General features: G+C 41.0%; 1 protein-coding gene, 1 long non-coding RNA gene and 1 pseudogene across 22 annotated transcripts in view, besides 5 other annotated features; 1 reads left to right on the top strand and 2 right to left on the bottom strand.

Annotated features, from left to right (window-relative positions):
* The window catches only part of C12orf42 (chromosome 12 open reading frame 42), a 516,167-nt gene that overhangs the window by 46,783 nt on the left and 442,172 nt on the right, over positions 1 to 27,212 (top strand). For 3 of the 21 annotated variants that reach the window (NR_103526.2, NM_198521.5, NM_001278420.3), the window contains exon 1: positions 21,040 to 21,106. The exons of 10 other annotated variants lie outside the window; for them this stretch is intronic. The gene's annotated coding sequence lies outside the window, so the exon portion shown is untranslated. Of the gene's footprint in view, positions 1 to 15,502; positions 16,039 to 20,872; positions 20,911 to 21,039; positions 21,242 to 21,356; positions 21,435 to 23,453; positions 23,592 to 23,618; positions 23,702 to 27,212 lie in introns of those variants that run through there. 8 more of the 21 variants (NM_001099336.3, NM_001278419.3, NM_001386868.1 and 5 more) reach the window with 6 other exon arrangements.
* Positions 10,909 to 10,958: an enhancer, noted in NCBI's record as "active region_6895". NCBI's record gives its function as "activates an Ori minimal core promoter by ATAC-STARR-seq in GM12878 lymphoblastoid cells {active_cell/tissue: GM12878}" and the evidence as "EXISTENCE:reporter gene assay evidence [ECO:0000049][PMID:35858748]".
* Positions 11,419 to 11,678: an enhancer, noted in NCBI's record as "active region_6894". NCBI's record gives its function as "activates an Ori minimal core promoter by ATAC-STARR-seq in GM12878 lymphoblastoid cells {active_cell/tissue: GM12878}" and the evidence as "EXISTENCE:reporter gene assay evidence [ECO:0000049][PMID:35858748]".
* Positions 11,759 to 11,848: an enhancer, noted in NCBI's record as "active region_6893". NCBI's record gives its function as "activates an Ori minimal core promoter by ATAC-STARR-seq in GM12878 lymphoblastoid cells {active_cell/tissue: GM12878}" and the evidence as "EXISTENCE:reporter gene assay evidence [ECO:0000049][PMID:35858748]".
* On the bottom strand, positions 12,075 to 13,312 carry LOC644203 (glutaryl-CoA dehydrogenase, mitochondrial-like; annotated as a pseudogene).
* Positions 19,313 to 20,968, bottom strand: LOC105369945 (uncharacterized). The gene is made up of 3 exons (NR_135004.1): positions 20,756 to 20,968; positions 19,771 to 19,829; positions 19,313 to 19,409 (listed from the first exon to the last, which is right to left on the bottom strand). It is a non-coding gene; the product is annotated as an uncharacterized LOC105369945 (long non-coding RNA).
* Positions 21,323 to 21,562: a silencer, noted in NCBI's record as "silent region_4780". NCBI's record gives its function as "represses an Ori minimal core promoter by ATAC-STARR-seq in GM12878 lymphoblastoid cells {active_cell/tissue: GM12878}" and the evidence as "EXISTENCE:reporter gene assay evidence [ECO:0000049][PMID:35858748]".
* Positions 21,573 to 21,682: a silencer, noted in NCBI's record as "silent region_4779". NCBI's record gives its function as "represses an Ori minimal core promoter by ATAC-STARR-seq in GM12878 lymphoblastoid cells {active_cell/tissue: GM12878}" and the evidence as "EXISTENCE:reporter gene assay evidence [ECO:0000049][PMID:35858748]".

Here is a 27,212-nt window from a genome sequence, read left to right as displayed (position 1 = left end):
TTCATGTCCTGGTCTTTCTTGGTAGTCCCTTTAATAGCTCTCAGGCAGGTGGTTTCTTTCCAGGATTTTGTTGCTCTATGGTCTGTTCCTATGTTCAAAACTATGCAAGAACCCGTGCTCTCTATTATATCAGGTAGAAGACTATTTGTGTGATACCAATAACTATGTTTTCTTATTGCTTTTGTCATTTGTTTACCTTCCTATTATAAAGTCCTGTTTTTCTTCAGACATTTAAGCATGTTTGATATGGTTTGGCTCTGTGTCCCCACCCAAATCTCATCTCAAATTGTAATCCACATGTGTTAAGGGAGGGACCTGGTAGAAAGTGACTGGGTCATTGGGGCTGTTTCCTCTGTGCTGTTCTCATGATAGTGAGTGAGCTCTCATGAAATCTGATGGTTTTATAAGTGGTAGTTTCCCCTGCTCTTCTCTCTTCTGCCACCATGTAAGACATGCCTGCTTCCCCTTCAACCATGATTGTAAGTTTCCAGAGGCCTCTCCAGCCATGTGGAACTGTGAGTCAATTAAACCTCTTTTCTTTATAAATTACCAGGTCTTGGGCATTTCTTTATAGCAGTGTGAGAACAGACTAATATAATGTTTATAAAATGCTATTTGAACTTGAATATGTATCATATGGTCTATGTTGCTTTCCATCAGGTTTACTCCTAAGTTATTTGTATATGGAATCTTTGTTTTAATCTCCTTTTGGGAAAATACTAATTTTTATAGAAACAAAATGAAAATTGTCTCTTTCTGTTTGTTCATTTTAAATTAAGATAAAAACTACAAGTGATAGTGGCTTCTTTGAATGATTGGCTAGCCACAGGCTGATTATATTATGTCCTTTAGTTATGATGGTAAATATTAAATGGCACATCAAGTTATTAACTTCTCATGTTTACAGATCCCCATCATGATTTTGTTGCAGTAATTTTAAAGAAGTATATCCAATTTTTGTTAAACCAAACTTCCAAGTACTATCTATACTGCATCATATCTCTATAACCAAGCAAAAAACTCAATCCAGCACGTGCATCTACTCTCATTCATCTTTCTTACACATGACATTAGCTAGAGTACAAATATATTATTTAGTCTTTCTCTAAGTGAAATCACCAGTGATTAAGAATCCTATTTGCCTTATAAAATGGACATTAATAGCCCTTCTTTCTTTTAAAAAATAGATTATTCTATTATGTATAAACCATCATGTAAAATATTACATATGATAGCTTGCTTTCTTGTTCCAGTGAAACATTTCTTTTTATTTAATGCAGTCTTGCACATACAACTCAGCATACATTTGAAAGTAGACAGTTTGAAAACATAATATTTGTAGTTCATTTTTTTGGAACCACCCCTTCTATAGCAGTTAAAGGCCTTGATTTGCACTTCACTGATGAGAGGCCAGAGCACTGAGGGATTTAGCTTTTCAAGCCTAGATTCAACTCCAATGTGCTGGAATGGAATACAAAGTACAGCTCTGCATTCATTATCACTTAATTATACAACTAGTTGGGTTTTCAAAGGAATTTTCCTCCCCAAAGCAAATCTGTGCCAGGTGCTTTTGTTTTCCTGAAATGACATTTTCATATTAAAACAATTTTGAAGTCTTCCTGTTGCAAACTCAGAAACATTCTTATGTCACTTTTTCCCTAAGGATCTCCTGCTTTGATTTAAGAGCACAGGTCACTATGCATTTTTTTACCTCAAGAAGTTGTTCTTAAATGTAAAACAGCAACAATATTTTTTGCCTTTTAAATGATTAGCCAAAAAGGAAGACAATTCAACTCAGTTTGTGCTTCTCTGATTTTATATTTATTGCAAGTTTAAGAATAATGAAATCTGAGAACAATGAATATTTACATTAATATAGGGGTTTTCAACCTCAACACTATTGATAGTTGGAGCTGGATAATTCTTTGTTGTGTGGGGTGTCTTGTACATTACAGGATGTTTAGCAGTGTCCCTGGCCTCCACCCATTAGATGCCAGTGTTACTCTCCCCACTTCCCACCCCATACCAGTCATGACAACCACAAAGTTCCCTTGACATTGCCAATTATCTCAGGGTAAGGGTAGGGGGCAAAATGGTCTCTGAGAATTGAGAACCACTATGAGGGACTAAACTAATAATTATTTGTGTGCTATCGTCTTGAACTCCTCTATAGGTATATTTGGGAATTCTGTTGTTCATTTTAATTCATATGGCAGACTTCTAATTGCCAATTTGGATTTAGGGGTTTTATACTATTTATCTTGTATAGAATTGTCTGAGGGCAACATCTCTCAGCTTTGGTTCTTGCCCCCAGACAATACCCAGTGAACTGTTTTCTGTGCAACAGCTATAGTGCTCTTTTAAAAAGTCAGATCATATATTTTCTCTGTTCAAAAGCCTCCAGTGGTGCCACTTTACTCAGAGTAAAAGCCAACGTTCTTATGATGTCTACAAGGCCCTGAAGCATCTGACTTTGTCTCCCATACTCCTTCCCCATGGGGCCCCAGTCACATTAGTCTTGGTGTTCCTAGGCCCTGCCCTGCACACTTGTACCCTGGAGCTTTTGCATTAGCTCTTCCCGTCTTCCAGGAAGACGGTTCCCTTAGAGAGTTGCATCCATCTTGCAGTTTCTTCCAGTTCCTGCTCAAATGCTGCCTTTTCAGAGAGGTCTCCCCTGTCAACCCATCTGATATGGTTTGGCTGTGTCCCATCCAAATCTCATCTTGAATTGTAGTTCCCATAATCCCCACATGTTGTGGGAAGGACCAGGTAGAGATAATTAAATCATAAGGGCGGTTTCCCCCATCCTGTTCTTGTGATAGTGAGTGAGTTCTCATGAGATCTGATGGTTTTATAAGGGGCTTCCCCCTTCACTGGGCTCTCATTCTTCTCCTTCCTGCAGCCATGTGAAGAAGGACATATTTACTTGCTTTTCTGCCGTGATTGTTAAGTATCCTGAGGCCTCCCCAGCTAAGCTGAACTATGAGTCAGTTAAACCTCTTTCCTTTATAAATTACCTAGTCTCGGTTTTGTCTTTATTCACAACATGAGAATGGATTAATACACCATCCTTTCTCTCTATTCCCTTTATCCTTTTTATTTTTCTCCAAAACACTTGTTATCACAAAGCATAGCATATACTTGTTTTTTTTTTTAGTTTTCCTCACTGAAATGCATGCACCAGAAGGCAGACACTGGCTCTTATTAATGGCTGTGTCCTAGTGCCTGGCACATTCATTTGTCCAGCATGTATTTGTTGTTCAATAAACACTTGTTGAAGGATTGAATGCTTTTTCTGTTAAATAAATCTAGTTCAAGTGGGGCCTGATTCTCAGTCTTAACTTTTTTTCCCCAGTTAGAGTCCTGCAGGTCCAGAGTTGGATTATAACTTATACTCAGAGAAAGACCCCATTTTCTAATCTGAGAGTGAAAGCTTTTTCTTTTTTTGGTTGAGGGGAAGGCTGATCATAAAGTTTGGTTGTATTAATCAGGACTTTTTCATTTGCAAGAGACAGAAAATCCAACTCAGACAGGCTTAAGCAAAGAGGGGAGTATTTGTTCACATAACTAAAATCCAGTGATCTATCTGGCTTTAGACATGGCTGGACTAGCTGTGAAGTCATATTCTTAAGAATGTTTTTCTTTTTTTCTTAGCTCTGCTTCCTTTCCTGTGGTTCCATTCTCTTTCCATATTATGGCAAAAATGGCCAAATAGAGCTATAGGTTCTCCTTCTACCAGCAAATCCTACAGAAAGAGAGTTCTTTTTCCCTAGGGTTCCTGCAAACATTCTGACTCTCCTTGCCTGGCCGGGGTCACAGGTCCTTCTCTGAACCATTTACAGTGCCAGCTCCGGAACACCTGCCTCATTGGAGCCACAGGAACTGACCTGGATGGGGAGCATTTCTCCAAGGGAATATCAGCAAGCTTTTTACCTGAAGGAGGAGCAGTGGAATGCTGGGCTGGCAGAGGAGTGGGTGTCTACTATCTACTTTTTTTTTTTTTTTTGATATGGAGTCTCACTCTGTCGCCCAGGCTGGAGTGCAATGGCGCAATCTCAGCTCACTGCAGCCTCTGCCTCCCGGGTTCCAGTGATTCTCCTGCCTCAGCCTCCAGGGTAGCTGGGATTACAGGCACCCACCACCACGCCTGGCTAATTTTTGTATTTTTAGTAGAGACGGGGTTTCACCATGTTGGCCAGGATGGTCTCAATCTCCTGACCTCGTGATCCACCCGCCTTGGCTTCCCAAAGTGCTGGGATTACAGGCATGAGCCACTGCAGCCAGCCTACTCTCTTCTTAAGGATCAACTTCTCCCCTAACCACCACAACAGCAATCCTTACGAGTTCTCAAAGTCTCATTGAAGGGCACACCATATGGGTCATGTTCTTTTTCTTGAGAAAAAATTGATATACAATTTCTGCCCATTTTATGAGGTATATGTGATATCTTATTACATGCATAGAATGTGAATGATTAATCAGGCTACTTAGGGTATCTATCACATTGAGTAGATATCATTTCTATGTGTCAGAAACATTTCAATCCTCTCTTCTAGCTATTTTGAAATACACAATACATTGTAACTAACAATAGTCATCCTCCTCTGCTTTCCAACAAGAGAACTTATTCCTTCTGTCTAACTGTATGTTTGTACCCATTAACCAATCTGCCTTTATTTCAACACCCCACCCACCCACACACCCTTCACAGCCTCTGGTAACTATCATTCTACTGTCCACCTCCATGGAATTAATGATTTTTTAGCTCCCACATATGAGTGAGAACATGCAATAGTTGTCTTTCTGTGCACATAGACCATTTTCTATATTTCCTTAAAGGGAACCAAGATATCACTGGAAATGTAATGAGAAGGTGAGAATTTAATTTACCGGGACTTCTCAGGAGAGTAGGACAGTGATAGGAATAAAAATATGCCTACTCTATTTAGGAAAGGACCAAGACTCCCAAGGAGCAACCTCAAATATTAGCTTTCTTATTTCCCCAACTGCCTTCTAGGGAGAGTGGATTAGATTACCTTCAGGGCTTCTGTTTTAGTCAATTAAAGTGTAGCTCTCCAATACATAGGAGTGAAGATAGGGCTGCCCTGATTGTGTCCTTTTCTTACCATGCCTAACACTTCCAAAAAGAAAAAAGTCAAAATTACGTTTATATATTTAGGGATTTCATATAAATTTAAGTAAGTGTGAAAATTTTAAATATTTAAAGAATAGCAGTTTGAAGAGGTATCAAATCACTATTGTATCAGGGATGTGCTATTATTAGTCAACTTGGAGGTGAGTGAGTGTGTCTCCACCTGGGCCTGCTTCTACTTTATTTTTTCAAGATGCACTAACAAGCCAGAGGCTCTTTTGAGTAATTGGATGCATTTATCTATGCTTCTAGAGAACACAGAGTTAGAGGTTAGGAGGAAGAGCGGTAAAAGGGGAGTTGAGCAGTGGAATAGGCCACTTTGGAATACCTTATACCCCAAGAGAAGATTAGAGTGTTTTTATAGTACAAGAACATTTTTTATACCTCAATTTCATATGAATAGACACATGGTATACATATGCATGCATTATATATAACATGTATTTTATGCTGTAATTATATTATAAATTATATAAATGTATACTATATAAGTTATATTAAATATAAACAATTTTATCAAATATATAAAAAATATATGATTTGTTTTTGTTCTCTTTTATTTGGACTTTCCAAATACCACTGGAATCCAATATAAAATCATAAGACTAGCATTTTTTAATCACTTTATTGATGTATTATTACATACATAAAGCTGTGTGTATGTAATGTATACAACTTGGTGAGTTTGGAAAGACCAGCATCTTGGGTAAGTGAAATTCTCTCCTTTTCTCCAAAGCATCCCATCTTCTCCTCCATTTTTTCTTGGAGGTTTTAAAAAGTCAGAACCTCACCTGCATACCTCTTGAGAGTTAGAATGGTCAACCCTGTCCACTGGCTTCATGAGAAGAGGCTGGAATGGGAGCCTCCCACAACTTGCCAATATGGCCACACAATGTCTCCCACTGACTAGTTTGGGAACACTTGTCAAAGTGCAGTCTCTTAGTAGATGATGGGGCTGGACCTGATGTGCATGGTCAGGATTAAAAAGAGGATTGTAGCCTGTGCAGCTGGGATTAAGGATGGGTGAAGAACAAAATTGCAGCCATTAAAGAAGGGGTAAGATATAAGATCATCGATTTCCCATTGAAGTTTCATATTCTCAAATATCTATGATCTGGCCTCTCTCTAACCCACAGCACAAAGGAAAAGAGCCCAGTGTGATAATGTGATTCTGTAATTTTATCACTGAGTTCAAAATGAAATGATTGTTTTAGGGAATTTAAAGAACTTATATCTCCGTGGCAGAATTCCCTGGTTTCAGAATGTCTAAAAGTCCAAGTCTGAAAGAGGATTTAGAAACTTTTTTCATCTTCTTTATTTTTTTTACTTTTGTTTTATAATTTTTTATTTCTATAGGTTTTTGGGGAACAGGTTGTATTTGGTTACATGAGTAAGTTCTTTAGTGGTGATTTGTGAGATTTTGGTGTGCCCATCACCCAAGCAGTATACACTGAACCCAATTTGTAGTCTTTTATCCCTCACTCCTTCCCACACTTACCCCCAAATCCCCAAAGTCCATTGTATCATTCTTATGCCTTTGTATCCTATCATAGCTTAGCTCCCAACTATGAGTGAGAATGTTTGATGTTTGGTTTTCTATTCCTGAGTTACTTCACTTAGAATAATAGTCTCCAGTTCCATCCAGGTTGCTGTAAACACCATTAATTTGTTCCTTTTTATGGCTGAGTAGTATTCCAATGTATATATACGCACCACAATTTCTTTATCCACTCATTGATTAATGGACATTTGGGCTGGCTCCACATTTTTGCAATTGCAAATTGTGCTGCTATAAACCTGCACGTGCAAATATCTTTTCTATGTGATGACTTCTTTTCCTCTGGGTAGATACCCAGTAGTGGGATTGCTGGATCAAATGGTGCTTTTACTTTTCGTTCTTTAAGGAATCTCCACACTGTTTTCTACAGCAGTTGTACTAGTTACATTCCCACCAGCAGTGTAGAAGTGTTCCCTTTTCACCGCATCCCTGCCAACATCTATTATTTTTTGATTTTTTTGATTATGGCCATTCTTGCAGGAGTAAAGTTGCATCACATTGTGGTTTTGATTTGCATTTCCCTGATCATTTGTGATGTTAAGCAGATTTTCTCTTTACTTCCCATGCATGTAATAACAATTTCCATGTGTTTTGGCCAGAAGATATACAAATAGCCATGCAGGAGTGACCTCTGAAAGCTAGTTAGTTTGCAGTGCTCAAAACGGGAATTCAGAATAAAATGAGAGTTGGTCTAAGGTCAGCATAACCATGTGCAGTATCTAGTACCTGCTCTCCTTGGAATCGATGTTAAATTAATTTAAGCTTAAAAACTTGCTTCAATTTACCATTTTCTTTCCTTTGGCAGTATCATCTGTATTTTACCCGAGGAAGCTTTTTTTGGATGTTGTTTAAATTGCATTTCCGAGGCTGTCTGTAGGTGCTTACGCTTGGCTCAGGGGCTGAGATTTATTTTTTCCTTTGAAAATGGCAGGTTTTGAGGACTTCCAGAAAATGATTCTTCCTTGAGGCTCTCAATTGGGTAGTGATGAATGCAGAAGGAGGGAGACATTCTTGTATTTTTTCCTGATTCTTCAGTAACAAATATTGCATCATTGAAGCATAAGGTTAGGTTCAATACCTGCTGAATGGCACAAATGAGTAGGGGTATGAGGAAACCCTGGTGTGAAAAGATGACTACTCATAAAGCTGCTATACTGAACACTTTACAAGCATTATTTCATTTTGGCATCAGGTGGACTGGGTTTGAACACCACCTCCGTCACCTATTAGCTGCACACCTTGAGCAAGGTACTTAACATCCTTATGCCTCAGTTTGCCTCTTGTATAAAAGAGAGAAAATAATAGCTACCTCAAAGAGTTCTTGCGAGAGTTAGCAAATTTTTTACATATAAAGTACTTCAAATACTTAGTACCTACCTGGCTTATAAGCATTTATAAATATTAGCTATCATTATTAGTTCTTACATGATTGCCACCTTTTTACAGATGAGGAAATTGACATTTAGAAAGATCAAATAATTTGCACAAGGTCACAGTTGGCAAGTGGCTGAGCCAGGACTTGAAACCAAGTGTTTCTGTCTCCTTTGCTTAGGTTATTGGCCATCCTATACTATGTTGCACAAAGGAACTTGTAGAGTAGGACACACATATTTATAAGTAACTGTAATTTCCAGCAAATAAATAAATAACAAATAATAAATAAATAAATGGTGCTAGGATAGATTACATCTAGATGGGGAAATGGGGACATTTCAGAGAGGGGTAACATTTCTTCTTAGCCATAGTATGAACAATTACAACACCGTCAGTCATATATTGACTGAATTGCATTTCTAGTTATTGGTTATGGGTATTCAAATTTGGCTTGGGACTTTTTTTTCCTATTTAAATGTTAAATTTGGAAGCATACCATGAAAATGATACCTCCAATGACTTAAATGTTGCTAAGACAAACTCAAAATCTTATAAAGCTCCTGGGAAATAATTTCTCTATGGATCTCATGTTTGTTTGGCAGGAAAATAATCCTTCCACTCACACAATTTATTAAATTTTGCTGATCGTATGGCCACCTTCTATTCTTTTTCTTGTTTTCACACTTTCACAACCTTTAAATGTTTTAACCTTTTTTGTTTCATAAGTTGAAAATGTACTTTATACCCCAGTAAACTCATTATAAAGTTGAAAAATTATACATCAAATCATAGTAAGTTGGGGACCACCTGTATCTTAATTCACCCTTACAATAATCCTGAAAATAAGATATTGGACTCATTGTATGGATAACATTTGGAAATGAATGATTTGCCCAAGTTAGAGAGCCAGGCTGAGGGCCCAGATTCCCCTGCATCCAATGCCCAGCCCTCTCACTTCACACAGGGATGAATAGCTACGGTAGTCGGGGTTGAGGCACAGCTTGCATTGTCACATCCACGTCCTCCAGAAGTCATCAAATATTCTCTGATGGGAGAGCTGGGGTTCTTCAACATGCCAGGAGCTTATGTCTTGCAATGCCTGATGCTATGTTCAGGTCCTAAATTAATGGTTATGCCTGATGCCTCTTCAAATATAATGGATCTCATGAATGGAACAGCTTGCTAATTCCACGTGTGTCGATGAAAGGTTGACTTTATTACCCGCCCCCACCCCACCAGTTTTTTGGAGACAAGGTCTTACTGTGTTCCCTAGGCTAGGTGCAGTAGTGCAATTATAGCTCACTGCAGCCTCAAACTCCTGGGCTCAAGAGATGCTCCCACCTCAGCCTCCTAAGTAGCTTGGAACTACAGGTGTGTGCCGCCACACCCCACAAATAAAAAACAATTTTTTTTTTTTTTGAAGATGGGGTATCACTATGTTACCCGGGCTGGTCTTGAAATCCTAGCCTCAAGCCATCCTCCTGCCTTGGCCTCCCAGAGTGCTAAGATTACAGGGGTGGCCCACTGTGCCCAACCTATTTTCCACTTTTATGCCCCCCTGCCCAATCCCTATTGGTACATACCCTGGTACAGCATAGAAAATTTAGAAAGTAGAGAAATGCATAACGCAGTTAAAAAAAAATATATATAATATATATATTATATATTTATATATTATATATAATATATATATATTTATATTTATATATTATATATATAATATAAATATATATATATTATATATAATATAAATATATATTATATATATATATTTATATTATATATATAATATATATTATATATAAATATATATTTATATTATATATATAATATATATTATATATAAATATATATTTATATTAAATATATATATTTTATATAAATATATATATTATATATAAATATATATTTATATATAATATATATATTATATTTATATAATATATATATTTTATATATAATATATAAATATATTATATATAAATATAATATATATATAATATATAAATATATATATAATATATAAATATATATTTAATATATAATATATAAATATATATATATAATATATAAATATATATATATATAATATATAAATATATATATAAACATGTATTTGATACATCACCCAGAGACCACTTTGTTGCATGCCTCTTCTAGCCCCTGTTTTATGTACTTTCTTTCTAACCTAGTTGAATTTATACTGTATAAAATCATGCATCACTTTACAATTGGAACATTACTGAGAAATGCGAAGTTAAGCAACTTTATCATTGTCTGAACATCATAGATTGTACTTACACAAACCTAGATGGTATAGCCTATTGCTCCTAGGCTACAAACCTGCACAACATGTTACTATACTGAATACTATAGGCAATTGTAACACCATGGTAAGTATTTGTGTATTCAAACATATCTAAACAAAGAAAACGTACAGTAAAATTATGATAAGATATTATAATCTTACAGGACCATCATTGCATATACAACCCGATATTGACCAAAACATCACTATGTGGCAACTGACTTTATATGTTTTCACCTCTTAAAAAATTTAGCTCCGCAGTGACTGCACTGGTTTTTTTTTTGTTTTGTTTTGTGTGTGTGGGGGGGTGGTGGGATGGCGTGGGGGGGTTGTTTGTTTTAGCATTATATAAGATAAATTGCAGAAATTTGAGATCCACTTAGAATAAATGGCTGGTGATACATCTTGTCTGATTTTCCAAGAATGTGTCTTATTCTTTGAAAAGTTTTGGATCTGACAGAGCAGTTAGAGGAGAGGATCTATCAGCTTTATAATGATAACATCAAGATCATCTAGGAAAAGCTCCAGGGGTTCACTCAGAAAGTGGCAAAGATCAGCCATTTGGAAACAGAGCTTAACCAAGATGGCCACAGAAGGAGACTGTGTACAAAGACCTGTGCATCCGGTCTGAGGTATCCCGCCTGAGCAAACTCAATGGGGGGCTCTGCCTGAGGAAGCAGGGATGGCCCAGCTGATAGTAAATGTGAACAGAAACCAGGCAGCCAGCCCTGACCTCACAAGGCCACAGTCCCCACAAGGCCCGTGGTGCTTTTGCCATCTCATTTGTGACCCCCTGTAACATGGTGTGTCCAAGCGGAGAAGCCAGACCACTGTCATTTCCCACCATCACGTGATCAGCTGTGTGGTGACAGAAAGAACAAAATCCCCTGCACCCCTGCTGGTCAGAAACTGTCCTCTCCATCTACAGCCTTGAGCCCTGCATCCCTGGTATATGCCCCCCAGGGGCCTGGGCAGTGCTAACTTGGGTTTATTTATTACAGCAGAGCCTAAGACTCAGACATGGGCTAGACCACCATGTCCCAGTGACTCACAGCATTCAGATGTGTTCATTTCTCCTGTGGCTGAAACTACTTCTCAGGTGGTTACCAGTAAATGCCGTCCCTACCACGTTCCCATGACTCAGAGCACCCAGACGTGTTCATTTCTCCTGTGACTGAAACTACTTCTCAGGTGGTTACCAGTCAATGTAACCCAACACTATGGGGTCAGACGTGCAGCCTTCTTATTTTCCTCTCCCTTATTCTGCTCCAATGTCCAGCATAAGGCACTAACCCCGGATGGAAGGGTCGGAGGGTGCACTGTGAACCCTTGATGTGAGGGGAGTCTGCTCAGGCAGAGACCAAGGGGGTCTCCAGGAAGTTGCTTCAATGTCACACTCCTTCTCTCAATAGATGTTTCTATTTCAAGGTAAATGGAGTCTGTTCTCATCCATTGTTAAAAGTGGACTGAGAAACTCTACAGAGAATTCCATCTTCTTTTTAAGGAACACATCTGAACAACTTCAGAAGGGAAATTCTGATATTTAAAAATCAGTGTCTCTCACTTCCCACTCCATCCGCTAGCTTCCTTCCTAAGCTCAGAACACAGCATTCCCATGGTCCAGCCAGGCCTGTCTCTGGGAAGGGGTTTGAGAGCTTTGGGCCACTGGCTGGATGGGCTCACTTGCCAGCCGTGAATTTGTGGATTCCCGTGACAGGTCTTTCCAGGATCAGGGTGCGCATGTCATGTGTACCCTCAGAGGTTTTCATGGCCTCTGAGTTCCTGATGTTCCGGACCATATGATAGTCATCAGAAACCCCAGTACCCCCCAGCATGTCTCAGGCCTGGCAGGCAATGTCCAGGCTTTTTTCATAGTTATTCGTCTTTAGCAGAGAGACCTGTCCGGGGGCTGCCTTGCCCTGATTCTTCAAGTGGCTGTGCTGCAGACAGGCATGAAGGCCCAGCGTGACCTCAGTGAGCATGTCCTCCAACTTCTGAATCAGCTGGTGCCTGACCAACAGGATGCCAAACTGGATCCTGTGTGGGGTGTACTGCCTGGCCACGAGCAGACAAAACTCGGCAGCTCCAAGCACTCCCCACATGATACCAGATCTGGCGTTGTTCAGGCAGCCAAAGGGACCCTCCAGGCTGCCTGCACTGAGCAGCACGTCCTCCACCTCCACGCTGTCCACGATGATCATGCCCATGGCAGAGGCCCGCAGGGAGAACTTGCCCTCAATCTTGGAGGCCAAGAGACCCAACATACCCTTCTCCGACAGGAAGCCCTGAAGGTAGCCATCTTCCAGCCCACGCTACAAACAGGTTGGCCACAGGTGAGGTGGTGACCTAGGTCTCACTGGATCCTGGTGGTGATTCAGGTCCCGTTGGATCAGGGTGGTCCCATTGAGGGTGCAGCTCTTATTCCAGGGGTTATGGCAGGTTCTGATCTCCATGCTGCCGGGGTCACTCCTGCAGTTGGGCTCTATGAGCCTGAAGTAGCGCAGGAGCGCCCCCTTGGCCAGCAGGGGGCAGGTATAGGTTGCTGCAAACATAATTGCAGTTTTTGTCATTAGAAGTAATGGCAAAAAGCACAATTACTTTTGCACCAACCTAATACTTCTGCCACTGCTCCTCACTGATGTAGGTGTAGATAGGGCGCATGACTAGAGGAGGACTAGACACTCATTGCCAACCTGTAGCCACTGTCCACCCACTCCAGCTTTTAGACCAGAAGTGCATAGGCCACACATGAGACCCCAATACAGCCATATCCTTTGATGGTGGGGCCTAGTACACCCAGCTCCCACAGCTGCAATATGCTCCTCCCCATGAAAAACTTCAGTGCAATTGGCCAGCAGAATGCCAGGCATGAGTCACTGCTGGTGGTAAGTGTGGAAGGTGTTCCTGATGAGGATCTCATCTGCCCTCGTCTGCTCCTGCAGCACCAGCAGGTCCTGCCAGTTACACTCGGGATGCCAGGTGCCTCAGTGCCTCTGACCCTGGGCATGACCCTGTCATCCTGTTCAGGCAGCCCTTGGATTCTGGGACAGAATCCATCCGGGGCAGGCAGACAGTTGGGCAGGGGCTGCAGATGCACAGCGTGACCAGGGTCCTTATACTTGGCTGGTCAGCTCTGTGTCCTCCCATCTTTCTTAGTCTTGAGACCCACGTGTGCAGAACACGCAGGCTGGGTCTGTGGGCTCAGTAGCCCTACAGAGATGCCTCTCAGGGTCATGCAAGCAGTGGGCGAGGGGGCGGAACGAGGACTGTGACCTGGAGGAGCTGGGGCGCCAGAATGGAGCCGCTCCCAGCCATGGCCCTGGCCCCTGGGCCCTCCTGACCTGGTACCTCCCAGTTCACCAAATATTTTAATCTTAAAATTCTTGGTGACAGTGAGTATTTTCCCAAAGATTTGTAAGCACCCACAGTTTCCTGGCTTAAAAAACTATGTCTGTATTCCTTCAACCTATTAATTTGTCGAATCCTTTAGCTGTCCATTCTTCACTTAGTCTTCTCACTTGTATGATCATAACTGTTCTACGAAGAAGTTGGAGGAATTTTTGGCTCTGTTTCTAACAGATTCTCCACAATTTTGTTGATTGAGGTTTCAGGTGGCATTTATAAACAAGCAAGGGAATGACAGTAATTTATTGCTGCAAAATTACAGTGGGTTTGTAGTATCCTACATCACTGTAATATTGGACTATCAAAACTCATGAGGAACAAAACACTCGCCGTGAACCACAGCACACCTCAACATGCCTACCATTCTTTCCTTTCCCATTATACCACAGACTGAGGGTTCCTAAATTGGTTGCATATCAGAATCCCCAGAGGTAGCTTAATAAAAGGAAAGATTGGCAGGCCCCACTACCAGGAAGTCTGATTTGGAGATCTGGGGTATATCTGGGATACATAATCAAGGGATGCGATGGAGAGTCATTGAAGTGAGGCTGGCAGCGGGCAGGGCTGCTGTTTTACATGGGTGGGTAGAAAGGCTTCTCTGAGGATGTGCAGCTGGTTTGTGCTGAGACCAGAATGTTACCAAGGTGTAGGTTCTATGAAAACCTGGGAAAGAGTGTTCCTGCAAAGGGAGTGGCAAGAGCAAAGGCAGGCACACGGGAGGTGTGTTTGTAAAGGAAATAGGGAAACAGTGTGACTGAGGGATGGGGACAGTGTCCAAACCACACCATTCCTTAAGGGCCAGCTGAAGGAGCTTGCATTTCATTACAATTATGCTGTGCCATGATCTGATTTATTTTTTAAAAAAGATCACTCTGACTGCTCCATGGAGCATGGCATGAGTTGGAGGTATTTGGGAGTCTTGTTGAAAGCTGATGGTGAAGATGACATCTAAAATGAAATGGAAGGATGAGTGGGAGTTGGACCAGTCAAGGGGGTGGAGGGTGGAGTGTTTCAGGAAGAAGACTGGGCAAGTGCAAAGCCCTGAGGTGCAAAGATTGTTCTAGAAACTGACAGAAGATAAGGGAGGAGCCACAGAGGAAGATAGGGTCCAGGTGATGTGGCTTCCAGGATATAATGATAAAAAAGGTGAGTACAAAACAGCTAGGGTGGGCTGAAGGATCCTGACATCTTTTGAACGCCTACCATGATCTAGGCATAGGTACTTTCTTTGTTATTGCTTTCAATGTAGCGCAGCTTGCTTTGATTTTTCCAATATAATCTAGTAATTTGGATTTTGGTTTCCTGACTTTTAAATGTTGGCAAGCTAGTTAAAAAAATGTCTTTTTTAAAACCCAATGTGAGTTAAATAAAAGATGTCTGTGGGCTGAATTTGGCTTGTGACTTCCAGTATGTGGTCTTTGAGCAGCATGAAAACCAACCCAAATGGTGCTTTTGTGTAAATTAGGAAAAGGTCTCCTTTGCTCTACACGGCTTCCTAAAGGAAAATTGTCATATTAAATTATATATGTCAATGATGGCTGTGATGAAAATGGCAACACTAGAGTTGCGCAATGTACACAGTCTGGACAATTTAACAGCTTTATCTTTGAGCAAGAACAGGTGGGAAGAAGCAACAGGAAAATATGACATGGGAAAGGGCAATAGGGTGCTGGCGCTAACTGGCACTGGATCGTCAGAGCTGATTGTGCACATCTTTTCCCAACTCTGCGCTCACTAACATCATGAGAGCTTTAAATCCACCATAGTGGGAGTATTTACCATTTAGCCCCCTTCAGCAGTGGAGGCTGTTCATCCTCTCTCACCCCTATGTCTAGGAACAGAGGAAAGAAAGAGAACGGCACACTTTTATCTCCTTTTGCCTCTCCCAACCATTGCTACTCTGATCTTCAATTATCCCCCCTTTTTTTGACACTCCCAGTGAATTGCTCAAACCTCCTTTGCCTGACAACTGAGCAGGTTTACTGCTGATTTACCCAAATGAGAGCTTTGGTATCTCCCTCCCATGCCTTTCATCCACTCCAAGGCCCATCGGCCCACAGGGATGATCCAGGAAGCATTGCCGTCTCACAATCTTGTGACTTTATCAACTTCAAGGACATGTCACCTCTGCTCCACTTCAGACATGCACAACCACAGCCACATCTTGGATCACAAAGCCAACTTTGGAATAGCTGCATCTTTGAAATGTGATTATGATGACACCTTTTCTGCAGGACTGAGGTAAGGATTCAAAGACATTATGTCTGGAAAGCGACTAGCAAATGCCTTTCTTATAATAGATGTCCAAGGAAGGTTTCTTTTCTTGTCTTTTAAAGACAGGAACACAATTTTGAAACCCTGATATTTCTTCCTTTACTTTGCAGTATCACTTCAATTTGACATAAACAGTTGATATTTAGTAAACTTTCTGCTAAGTGACATCCTTAGAAATCCATGCTCTTTCCAGTACTCCTGAGCTACTGGCATCCAATATTATTGGCGGCAATTGTGCTAACATGCACAACACAATACCCACTCTTTTAATTACAGAACATTCTTGCAGTAAAGTGACACTGATTCTCATCTGATTAATATTTATAGTTTTTACTTTTGGCTAAATGCCAGGTATCTTCATCATGTGAATTTCTCTGGCTTCCCAGTTCTCTTTTGCTGCCTCTCTTATTAGCTTATTTGTGTGAGCATATCTTTGTTTTACCCAATCCAGGAGTGTCATGGATTCCTTAAGTCACAAGCCTTCTACCCAGGAGGGGCTTTTACTGGGCAATTGTAACTAAATGTAAGTGGGTACTGAATAATTTTATGTAACTTTTCAGAAAAAACTTCAATGCTTACATTTGAGAAAGTGTAGGGAAAGGGTCATGATGGTTTTGATCGTTGGTCAAAAATTGGTATGCCTGGTTAGTAAATGAAAGGGGTATTAGATATCTTTCAAACATGCTTCACTTTTTGCTAACTTTCTGTAGCTTCCATTGGCTTCTCTTAGGATCCCAAAATCTATACTCTGACATATGAACCATCATTTAAGCAGTTTGCTGCAAAGGAATTTGTGTTTTTTCATAAACTTTTGCAAATGTGAGAATGTGTTAGCCATAGTAACAGTTAAAAGGCTGAAGTTTGTAATATATTATCATTTAAAAAGATATCCAAACTTAGACGTGCCAGAGGTAAAATTATTTTCTCTGATGCAGGAAGACCTTGTATATTAAGGATTCTGTTTTCAAAATCTCTTTATTTTCCATTTCACTATGAATGTTACTGATCTAATTTAAGTTCTTATTATTTTGTGCTTGAACAATTTCAATAGCATTCTAACTGCTCTTCCTGACTTCTCCTTTCCTTCTAAACTCACATTCTTATGTCTGATAAAGTTCAAAGATGACTCATTGCCAGTTGTACTGATGTTCAAACAGTATTTCAAAGGGCAGTATAGAGTCCCCAGCCATGGCTGGATGGTGAGACTGTGGGCAGGGGGCATATCCCTGCTTCTATTAGGACAGCTCTATATGGATCAGTTTTATCCTGTTTGGATTTCTTACAAGATTCTGCTTAAAACAAGTGTGCTGCTGTTGAAAACTATTAGTCCTCAGGACAAAATCCACATTCTTGGCATGGTAGTGAAATCCCTTCTCAACATACCTCCAAGCCAGTGTGCCATCTTCCTTTCTCTTCTCCATTGTTTTGTTTTGCTCACAGTTCATGGCTCACTCATCACTCCTTAAATACAGATGCCCCTCAACCTTTGTTCATACTGTGATAACTTTCCTTAAAAAACATTTTCCCCAGATTTGGTGTGGTATAATTGACAAATAAAAACTTTCTACATTTAACGTGTACAATGTAATGATTTGATATATGTCTACATTGTGAAATGATGACAATCAAGCTAATGAGGACATCCATCACCTCATATAATTACCATTTTTGGTGTGTGGTGGTGAGAACTGTCTTAGCATATTTCAAGTATGTAATACAGCACTATTAATTTTAGTCACCATTATGTATATTAGATCACCAGAACTTGCTGATCTTGTAACTGAAGGTTTATCCCCTTTGACTAACATCTCCCCATTTCCCTTACTCCCCATCCTCCTCGCTCCCCATCATCTATCAACTACCATTCTACTCTCTGCTTGTGTGAGTTAAGACTTTTTTTTTTAATTTATTTTTATTTTCAGTTCTGGGGTACATGTGCAGGTTTGTTACATAGGTAAATGTGTGCCATGGTGGTTTGCTGCATCTATCATCCCATCACCTAGGTATTAAGCCGAGCATGCATTAGCTATTTTTCCTAATGCCCTCCCTCCCCCAACCCCACCCCCCAACAGGCCCCAGTGCATATTGTTTCCCTCCCTGTGTCCATGTATTCTCATTGTTCAGCTTCCATTTATAAGTGAGAACATGCAGTGTTTCTGTTTTCTGTTCTAGTGTTAGTTTGCTGAGGATAATGGCTTCCAGCTCCATCCATGTACCTGCAAAGGCCATGATCTTGTTCCTTTTTATGGCTGCATAGTATTCCATGGTGTATATGTACCACATTTTCTTTATCCAGTCTATCATTGATGGGCATTTGGGTGGAGTTAGACTTTTAAATATTCCATACATAAGTGAGATCATGCAGTGTTTGTCCTTCTGTGACTGGTTTATTTAACCTAATGTCCTCTAGGCTCATCCATATTGTCACAAGTGGGGAGATTTTCTTCCTTTTTTGTCTGAATAATATCCCATTGTATATATGTACCACATTTTCATATACTGTCATATCTTTGCCTTAAATATCTTCCTCCTTTTGACTATTTGGAAAATGCAGTATTCATTTGTTCATTCATGCATTCATCCAACAACGATTTATTGAGCATCTGCTATGTGCCATACCCTGTTTAGGTACCAGGGACTGCTATTATATAGCCAAATTTATGACATCTTCTCTATGACATTGCCCAGGCAAAATTACCTGATGCCTTCTCTGTACTTCATGATACTTTGTCATATTGAGATTATTTTCTAGTTGATTGCATTGCTCTGATTCTCATGTATGCTTTTCTCTTTTTAAGGTTGACATCCATATCTTATTTGTGAATACATTTTTCCCTCTCATCGTAGCTGATTAGATGTTCAATAAATGAATAGTTTTCTCTCTTTCTTCTTTTTTTTTTTTGAGATGGAGTCTCGCTCTGTCACCCAGGCTGGAGTGAAGTGGCGCTGTCTCTGCTCACTGCAACCTCTGCCTCACAGGTTCAAGCGATTCTCCTGCCTCAGCCTCCTGAGTAGCTGGGACTATGGGCGCGTGCCACCACACCCGGCTAATTTTTTTTATTTTGTTTTAGTAGAGACGGGATTTCACCATGTTAGCCAGGATGGTATCGATCTCCAGACCTAGTGATCCGCCTGCCTCGGCCTCCCAAAATGTTGGAATTATAGGCGTGAGCCACCGTGCCCAGCCTTTTCTTTCTTTTAAAATCTGTTTGCACCACAAAAGAATGAGCTCTACAGGGATGGGGATCTTTGTTTATTTTGCCTGACACGTGATAGGTACTCAAGGATTATTTGCTGAAATTGATGAAGAGTTCTCATTTCTGTAGTGAAAACAGCAGCTGTAGGAATGGTAACAGAGTAGACAAAGGGCATTTTCAGGTGTTTTTGGTGTGCAAAGCTGCACCTCTGTGATATTGTTGGGGTTAAGAGAGCACTGGGTATCCATAGCCACTAGCAGTACAGTCTTGGGCCAGTCACTTACCATTTTGGGGCTTGCTACCTTATCTATAGATAGGAGGGTTGGACTCAGCTCATCCCTTCTCTAAGTTGGAATGATGCCATGATTCTATGTATTTAGGAGTACCTTGTAGATTGAAGGGCATGTCTTCTCAGAACTCTCAACTTTAATTTATGGAAGTCATAATTAAAGTAAAATGGTGGGTAGAATTTTATATTTGGAGCAAGTTTATACATACAAACCTTTTCCCCTTCATCTATTATGTCAAAGCCATGGATATTTTGATAGTTGACTTTTCTCTCTTGCATATGAATGATAAAAAGAAAGTGATACATTAGTGGAACTGTCATTTTCTGTGTGGTCACAGCAAATTTAAAAAAATGCATTTTAATCATAAAATTAGCCTGATTCATGGTGTTTCTATCTAGAAATTATAAAAGGATGAGAGAAATTTTACTCGATGATCACGAGACTTTAGCTGGAAAAGATGAACATAGGGTCAATAGTACAAACTTACTTTTTTTTTTAAAGAAATAAATGCAGAAAATGGGTTTGAGTTGCTAAGTCAGAGAAAGGCTGTTGGCTTCCCAAGAGTTGCTAGACCTTTGAATGAGATCTAACAAGACTCAAGAGTCTTTAAAAACAAGCTGCTTTTTTTTTTTTTTTCCCGGCTAGAAATATTTTAGATGTGGGTGTGTGGGGTGGTGGGGAGGGTGTCCATCCTGGGACTCAGGTGTGAATGTCCACTTTCTTTTGGTCCTGTGATTCTGCAGAAGAGTGTTCAGTAATTAGCTAGCCCAGAAAAAATATTTATATATTATGAGTTGTGATGAAGACTTAACAACTCTTTGGTTCTGTGCAGCCTATGGACAGCTTATGGGCAGGAATTAGGGGGTGTTAACCAGTCCTTTGTTGAAGTGTGTGGACTCCTCAGGCAGATGAGAACGACCTTTGTTGGCACAGCTAAATGTCCTTGACCAGTCGGAGGTGGGATAGAGATGAGGAAGAGCAGAGAGTAAAATTCCTCAGAAGTTTCTAAACCAACTAGCATGACTTTGGATTAAAAGTATCCCCAAATGGCCACTGTCCCCATCTACAGCCTTGCTCTGCCCCCTGCTGTTGGCTGCATTATTCCTGGATGCACTACTCCTCTATTCAAAATGGTTTACAATTCGAGGCAGATGAGTAGGTGGAAGGGGGAATTTCAGGATTTCTGGGGATTACTACCTCCAGAAGTACCCCCTCCGTGGAAAATCAACCCATTTTGATAAACATCGGGATCCCCCTTGCCGCCCCCGGAAGAACAGGTGCCATTCATATTCTGATGTCGAAGGCTTCCCCAGTGCTTGGAGTCGTGCACAGGCCACAGTGTCAGATGAGAGGTGTGAAAGTTTTCTGTGACTTTGGTGGCAGTCGCGGGGGAGGGTCTCACGGCAAGGCAGCCCCATTGTGGTTGCCCGGCGACTGCGGAGCGCTTGGAACCACGCTGCGCCGCGTCCCCAGGACCCAGCAGAGTGCTCCAGCTCCCGCGGAGGAGGCTGCGGGCGGCGCCCCGGGATAGGGACCCTGCAGCTCCAGGTAGACGCAGGGAGCGCGGGACTCGCCCCCTGGCAGGGTGAGGTAGAGCCGGACCGTTTGCTCTCTGCTGCTCCCCGGGACTCCAGCCGCGCCCGTGAGAAGAGGCAGCACGGCAGCAAAGGCCAAGGAGCGGAGGCAAGCGGCGGAACCCGTCGCGGTGGTCGCCGGCCCCCGAGCGGGTCGACCCGTCTCGGGGCAGGGGGGTGGGGGGCCAAGGAGCTCTCCTCCCCCGCCCCAACCCCCACCTCGCCGCCTCGGCCCGGACCGAGACGCACACGCTCCTTAATCCCCCGCCCCCCGTTGCCCCGGCGACGGCCCAGACGAGCAGGTGATGCATTGACAGCGAGCAGATGGTCCCCCGCGGAGGCGAGCGCGGCCCACAATGCGCCCCGCGCAGCGATGCCACCGCCGCCCTCCCCACCCGGCCGGCTCGCCGCCGCCCGCATGCTAATACAGGAAGGGGGAGGGGTGGGGGAGGGAGCGGGGGAGGGGCCGGGCGGAGCGGTTGGGGGCGGTGGAGGGCACGCCCCGCCTTGCTCTTTGCAGCCCTGCTCACCTCATTTTACTGAATGCCCTCCCCAGATCTCCGCACCAGGAAAGTTCCTCTCTTTACATGTAGAGACACTCTCCCTGTCCCGCTTCTCCCCCTAACCTTCCCCGCCCGCTCCAGCTCTCTTTTAATTCCCCCCAAGTGGTTAATTTCCATTGAGATAAACGCTTAACCCCTCCTTCAGCGCTCCTTACCCCTGTTCTGCAGCCCCTGCCCACATCTGCTCCCTGCTGGCATTTAATATTGAATCTTGGAAGACCAGAGGAATGGATTTACCACCGCCGCCCCCACCCTGTCCCTACTTCTAGAGCTGGCCTTGACACTTGTTAAATGTGTGTAGACATATTATTTATCTCACATCCCCCCAACCCCGCACTTCAGGATCTTTTAGGCAGCTTCTTTTGGTCTTCCTTTCTGGAATTTCAAAAATAAATCACTCTTCTCCCTGTGACAACTGTGCTGCCCCCTCCCGGGAAACCCTCCCATTCACGTAACCTCCTCCTCCCATTCATTCGACACCCCCTCCCTTCTTTACCCTATTCACCGCTGTGTGGCAAATTGAGGCGATCTTATACTAAGGGCATGAAAACTGCTAGGCACTATTCACAATTTTAATACTAACTTCATAGCTGTCACATAAATTCATTGCCGGGCCTACTTAAAATGGCCAAGAAGGAACTTTAAGAGAAGAAGAGGAAAAAAAAGTCTGAAGACACTGCCGTGGTGTCTTTCTTTGATTTGCAGGTGTTTTTTGAAACCATTACTACAGTAACTGCAGATAGTGGTTTTTTTTTTATCTGCCACATAGAGTGCTTAAAAAACCCCCACCCATCCTCCTCCTTTTTATTTTACAGTAGATAAAAAAATGCCAATAAAGGCTTAAAAAAAGGAATGGAGAGAGAAAGAGAAAAAGAGACTAGTGAATAAAGTTGGGACAATACAGGGTCACAGAGCTGTCGAAACTAATGTCATAGTGTGGCTGTTGTACAGGCGTACAGAAAACTTCTTGTTTCTTGATTTTTATGGAGATTTGGTCTAAGGCATGGAGCACTCTCTGAACAGGTTTAGAACAAGTGGCAAAGAAAGAACTCTTCACAATAAACTCCCTTCTGATGGGCTTTATGCCCACAAACACCTGTGAGTTACAAAGAGGCATTGCAGAAGACAAAGGGAGGCGAGAGGGCCAGGCTATTGTGGAGAAATGATGCCTCATGTACCCATGGCCCTAAGAGAGGGTTGTTTTATTTTAAAACTTGTCTTAGATCCTTGCTATGCAAACTTACAATGAGAAAAGAAGCATTAGACTCTTCTAGGGGCTCATAATGACTTTTTCAAATACTTCTAACTCATTTTGAGCCTTCGTTTTGGTAAATTCTTACACTAGTGAATATTGTACTTACTGGAATTCAAAGAAAGATGACTTATCTTGAAGATGAAGTTAGAAATCATTATCTAAGAGTTAGAAGTAAGTAGTAAGAATGTTTGCTTTAGGGGTGTATAACATTTAAGTGTATTTAACAATTTTATGAACTTATTTTCCATAAATGCTAATACTTTCATGCGTATTTCCTCTTAATTTCTTGTCTTTTTCTCCTTTTTCTTATCTCTAAGGTTTTTTTTTTTTTTTTTGTCTCCCCTTTTGGCTTTTGCTTTTTTCGTGTTCTTTGTAGTTTCCCCTCCACCAATAATTTAAAGAGGAGGGCAAAAATATGAAGATGTAAGGGGGTAAAATAAAGAGCTACAAGTTGAGGGAGGTTCCCTTTGGTTTAGGGTGGCCAAGTCCTCTCTGAGGAAATCACATTTCAGCTGGGACCTAAAGCAAGTGAGAATGCAGGGGAACACCAAGCAAGCAGAGGCACGTGCAAAGGCTCTCAGGCAGAAAAGAGCTTCAGGGATCCTGAGTCACTGAAGCAAGGCTGGTATGGCCAGAACATTGTGAGTGTGGGGAACATCAAGCAAGCAGAGGCATGTGCAAAGGCCCTGAGGCAGAAAAGAGCTTCAGGGATCCTGAGTCACTGAAGCAACGCTGATGTGGCTGAAACATTGTGAGTGTGGGGAGAATATTGCAAGATGAGGTTTGAGAGATTAGCCAGAATCAGATCGTCGAAAGCTGTATCAGATGTGGGAAAATACTGGATTTTATTCTAAGAGAAATAGGAAGCTACTGAAGGATTTTGAGGGATCTATGTGACTGAATTTATATTTTATCACCACTACCTCTGCTTTGTAGAATATGGATTGAATGAAGGAAAGAATGGAAAGTGCAACAAGTGGTTAGGAAGCTGTTAGAAGGCTGCTGTAGTAATCCAGACAAGCAACAGCAGAAACCTTAATCCTGGATTAAGGTAGTGTTAATGGAAATGAAGATGGATTTAGGATCTACTTTAGAGAAAGAACTGATGAGAGCTGATGGATGAGATTGCTTGCGTGGGGTGAAGAGGGAAAGGGAGGAACTGACGGTAGCACACTTGGCAGATGGTGGTGCACATTGCAGAGATGGGGAAGAGAATCAAGATGGGGGTGTGGATCAATAATTCGACGGGTTAATTTTGAACTGTTGTTGAGGTGGCCTAAAGGAGATGGTGGGCCTGGAGACAGACACTTGACTTGCCCTATGCCCTCATCCTTTCCTAAGCTTCTTGGGATCTATGATGTGGCATGGGATGAAGGGATGAGCTGGGCTGGTAAGATTTTCCACTTCCTGACTCTGAACTGGAAATACTGAGATAATCTGGCAGTTTGCATCAGGGAAGGAATTGAAAAGTCATGAGCTGGAGAAAGAACCATTAAAGATTATGATCAAATGGATGCCATGAATAAGTAGAAGTCTATGAAACACAGTTGAGGGAGAGGAAATTTTTGTTAAAGGTTAAAGAAGCTAGCAGAAAGGAGCAAGTTTATGGAAAGAAGATATGCCATGTGACTAGAGGAATATTAGGACGAAGACCTGTGAAGTCAGGCAGTTGAGGTGTTTACAGTTGCTTTTGACGCAGACTGAATCTCCTATTTCAGACTGTGAAACAGTAAGATGCAAATTGCTGGATAATGTATTTAAGGAAAAGATAAACCACAAACACATAGAATTAAGAATGAGGGCCAGGTGCGGTGGCTCACCCCTGTAATCCCAGCATTTTGGGAGGCCATGGCAGGTGGATCACTTGAGCTCAGGAGTTCAAGACCAGCCTGGCTAACAGGGTGAAACCCCATCTCTACTAAAAAGTATAAAAATTAGCTGGGCGTAGTTGCGCACGCCTGTAATCCCGGCTACTCAGGAGGCTGAAGCGTGAGAATCACTTGAACCTGGGAGGCAGAGGTTGCAGTGAGCTGAGATCGTGCCACTGCCCTCCAACCTGGGTGACAGAGTGAGACTCTATCTTAAACAAACAAACAAAAAAAAAACAAAATTGAAAACAAGGAGTTTCTAACAAGTTGGGGGTTATGTTTGGGAAGTCAGGAATTCCTTTTTCCCTTCAGAGTCCTGGCTCATAGAATAAGGCCTATTTTGATTCAGCTTATCAGCTTTATTGATGTCCACTAAAATGACTCTCTGAGTAAAGGGCTCCATGATAAAGATTAAAGTGAGAAATGAGGCTTGAGTTTTAAGCCAGGGTGAGTTTTCCATTCTCTCCAATCAAATTGACTGAAGATAACTCACAAATTACATTGGAGGATCTGGGGGTAGAAATAATAGTGACTGACATTTGCCAAGGTTTACAAGGTGTGATTGCCATGTAGAAACAAGGAGCTCAAGGCCTGCCATGTCTGAGCACAGGGAAGCAAAAGGAGAAGCCAGATAACAATAGAGTGTAGAGGTGGAACCTTATTACCTAATTCCTGCTAAATTTGGTCCATTAGATATAAGGCTTTCTTTAATCTCGCCAATTATCTCTTGAGGCAAGGAGTGTTTGTTTCTATATTTTTTTCTGGAGAGTACAACAGAAGCTACTACATCTACAATTCCAAGAAAATGGGATGGATGCACCAGAGTTTCCTCTTGTTATAGTACATATAGAGATTCAATATAAAAACTACTATGTAGAATTCAGTGGTAAACTATGCAGTTAAAATAGCCCAACAAATATTATTATATTGATGGGAAAAAATAATTAAAATTAACTCAAGGAGAGGTGGATGACCTGATTAGAACAATAGTTATGACAAAGATGAAAAATGCTTTCAAATATTTAATTCCCAAAAAAGTTCTAAGCCCAGATAGTTTTACGAGTCAGTTCTTTAAATGTTTTAAGGAAAAAGAAGTTCCACATTATAGAAATTTAATACATAAACACTGGTGAAATTTTTCTAATTTATATGATTGCCAGACTGGACTAAGAGTATGATAAAACAAAATCAACAATTTTATGCAGGCATATAGATGCTAATGTTCTAAAAACCCTATGCACACATTTAATTCATCAATGTAAGGTATGCTACTACCCACTAGATATTATTTCAGAATGGTTTAATATTAGGAATTCTAGGAATATATAACAATAATATAATAAACAAGAATAATCATATGGGAATTCTATTAAATACCAAATGTATTATAAAACTACTCCTTATAATGTTTTATAAATTAGAAAGAGATAGATACTTATTTAACATAATAAACTATTTTAATATGAAAGCAATTATCATACTTAATGAAAAACACTAGAGGACTTTAAAATTAAAATTACAATTAAAACAAGGAGACCTATCATTGCCATTATTCTTTTGGATTGTTCTAAAAATTCTAGAAAATTAAATAAGATGTAAAACAGAAATAAGTGGCATAGTCGTTGAAAAGGAAGAAAAAGATCACTAATTGCAAATAACATTGCTCACTGATATGTGAAAATAAAATCAATGGATAAATAATAATATTGAATAAACTGATTCAATACCAAATAAATACAAAATGCAATAGTTTAAAAAATTAATAAAGATAACTTAGAAATAAAATGGGGGATTTTGTATTTTTAAGAGAATTTCAGACCAGTTATCCTATATAACTCTCCAAATTGACTAAAAACTGGATAAAATATTTTTAAAACATTGTAAGATGCATTTATGAGCTGGCATAAAGGTAGAAATCCTGAGAAATAACAGAATGCCAGAACTTAAAGGATTTCTTTTAAATGTCAGAGACTAAGATTTAAATTTTAATGGCAATACAGAAGATAGGCTGTTAGAAATAAAGTGGGGAGCTTAGCTGAAACATAAAGCTGGGATCCTAGTGTAGGAAGGAGCAATACATAAACCTGACATAGTTTGGGTTCCTGTTCCAAGATGGCCGAATAGGAATAGCTCTGGTCTGCAGCTCCCAGTGTGATCGACACAGAAGACGGGTGATTTCTGCATTTCCAACTGAGGTACCTGGGTCATCTCACTGGGACTGGTTGGACAGTGGGTGCAGCCCATGGAGGGTGAGCTGAAGCAGGGCGGGGCATTGGCTCACTTGGGAGGTGCAAGGGGTCAGGGGATTTCCCTTTCCTAGCCAAGGGAAGCCGTGACAAGCTATACTTGGAAAAACAGGACACTCCTGCCCAAATACTGTACTTTTCCGATAGT

Source organism: Homo sapiens, chromosome 12 (assembly GCF_000001405.40).
Source record: "Homo sapiens chromosome 12, GRCh38.p14 Primary Assembly".
In the NCBI taxonomy this organism is placed as follows: domain Eukaryota; kingdom Metazoa; phylum Chordata; class Mammalia; order Primates; family Hominidae; genus Homo; species Homo sapiens.
Note: the sequence above shows the minus strand (reverse complement) of the source record. Positions and strands in the feature narration are given on the sequence as shown.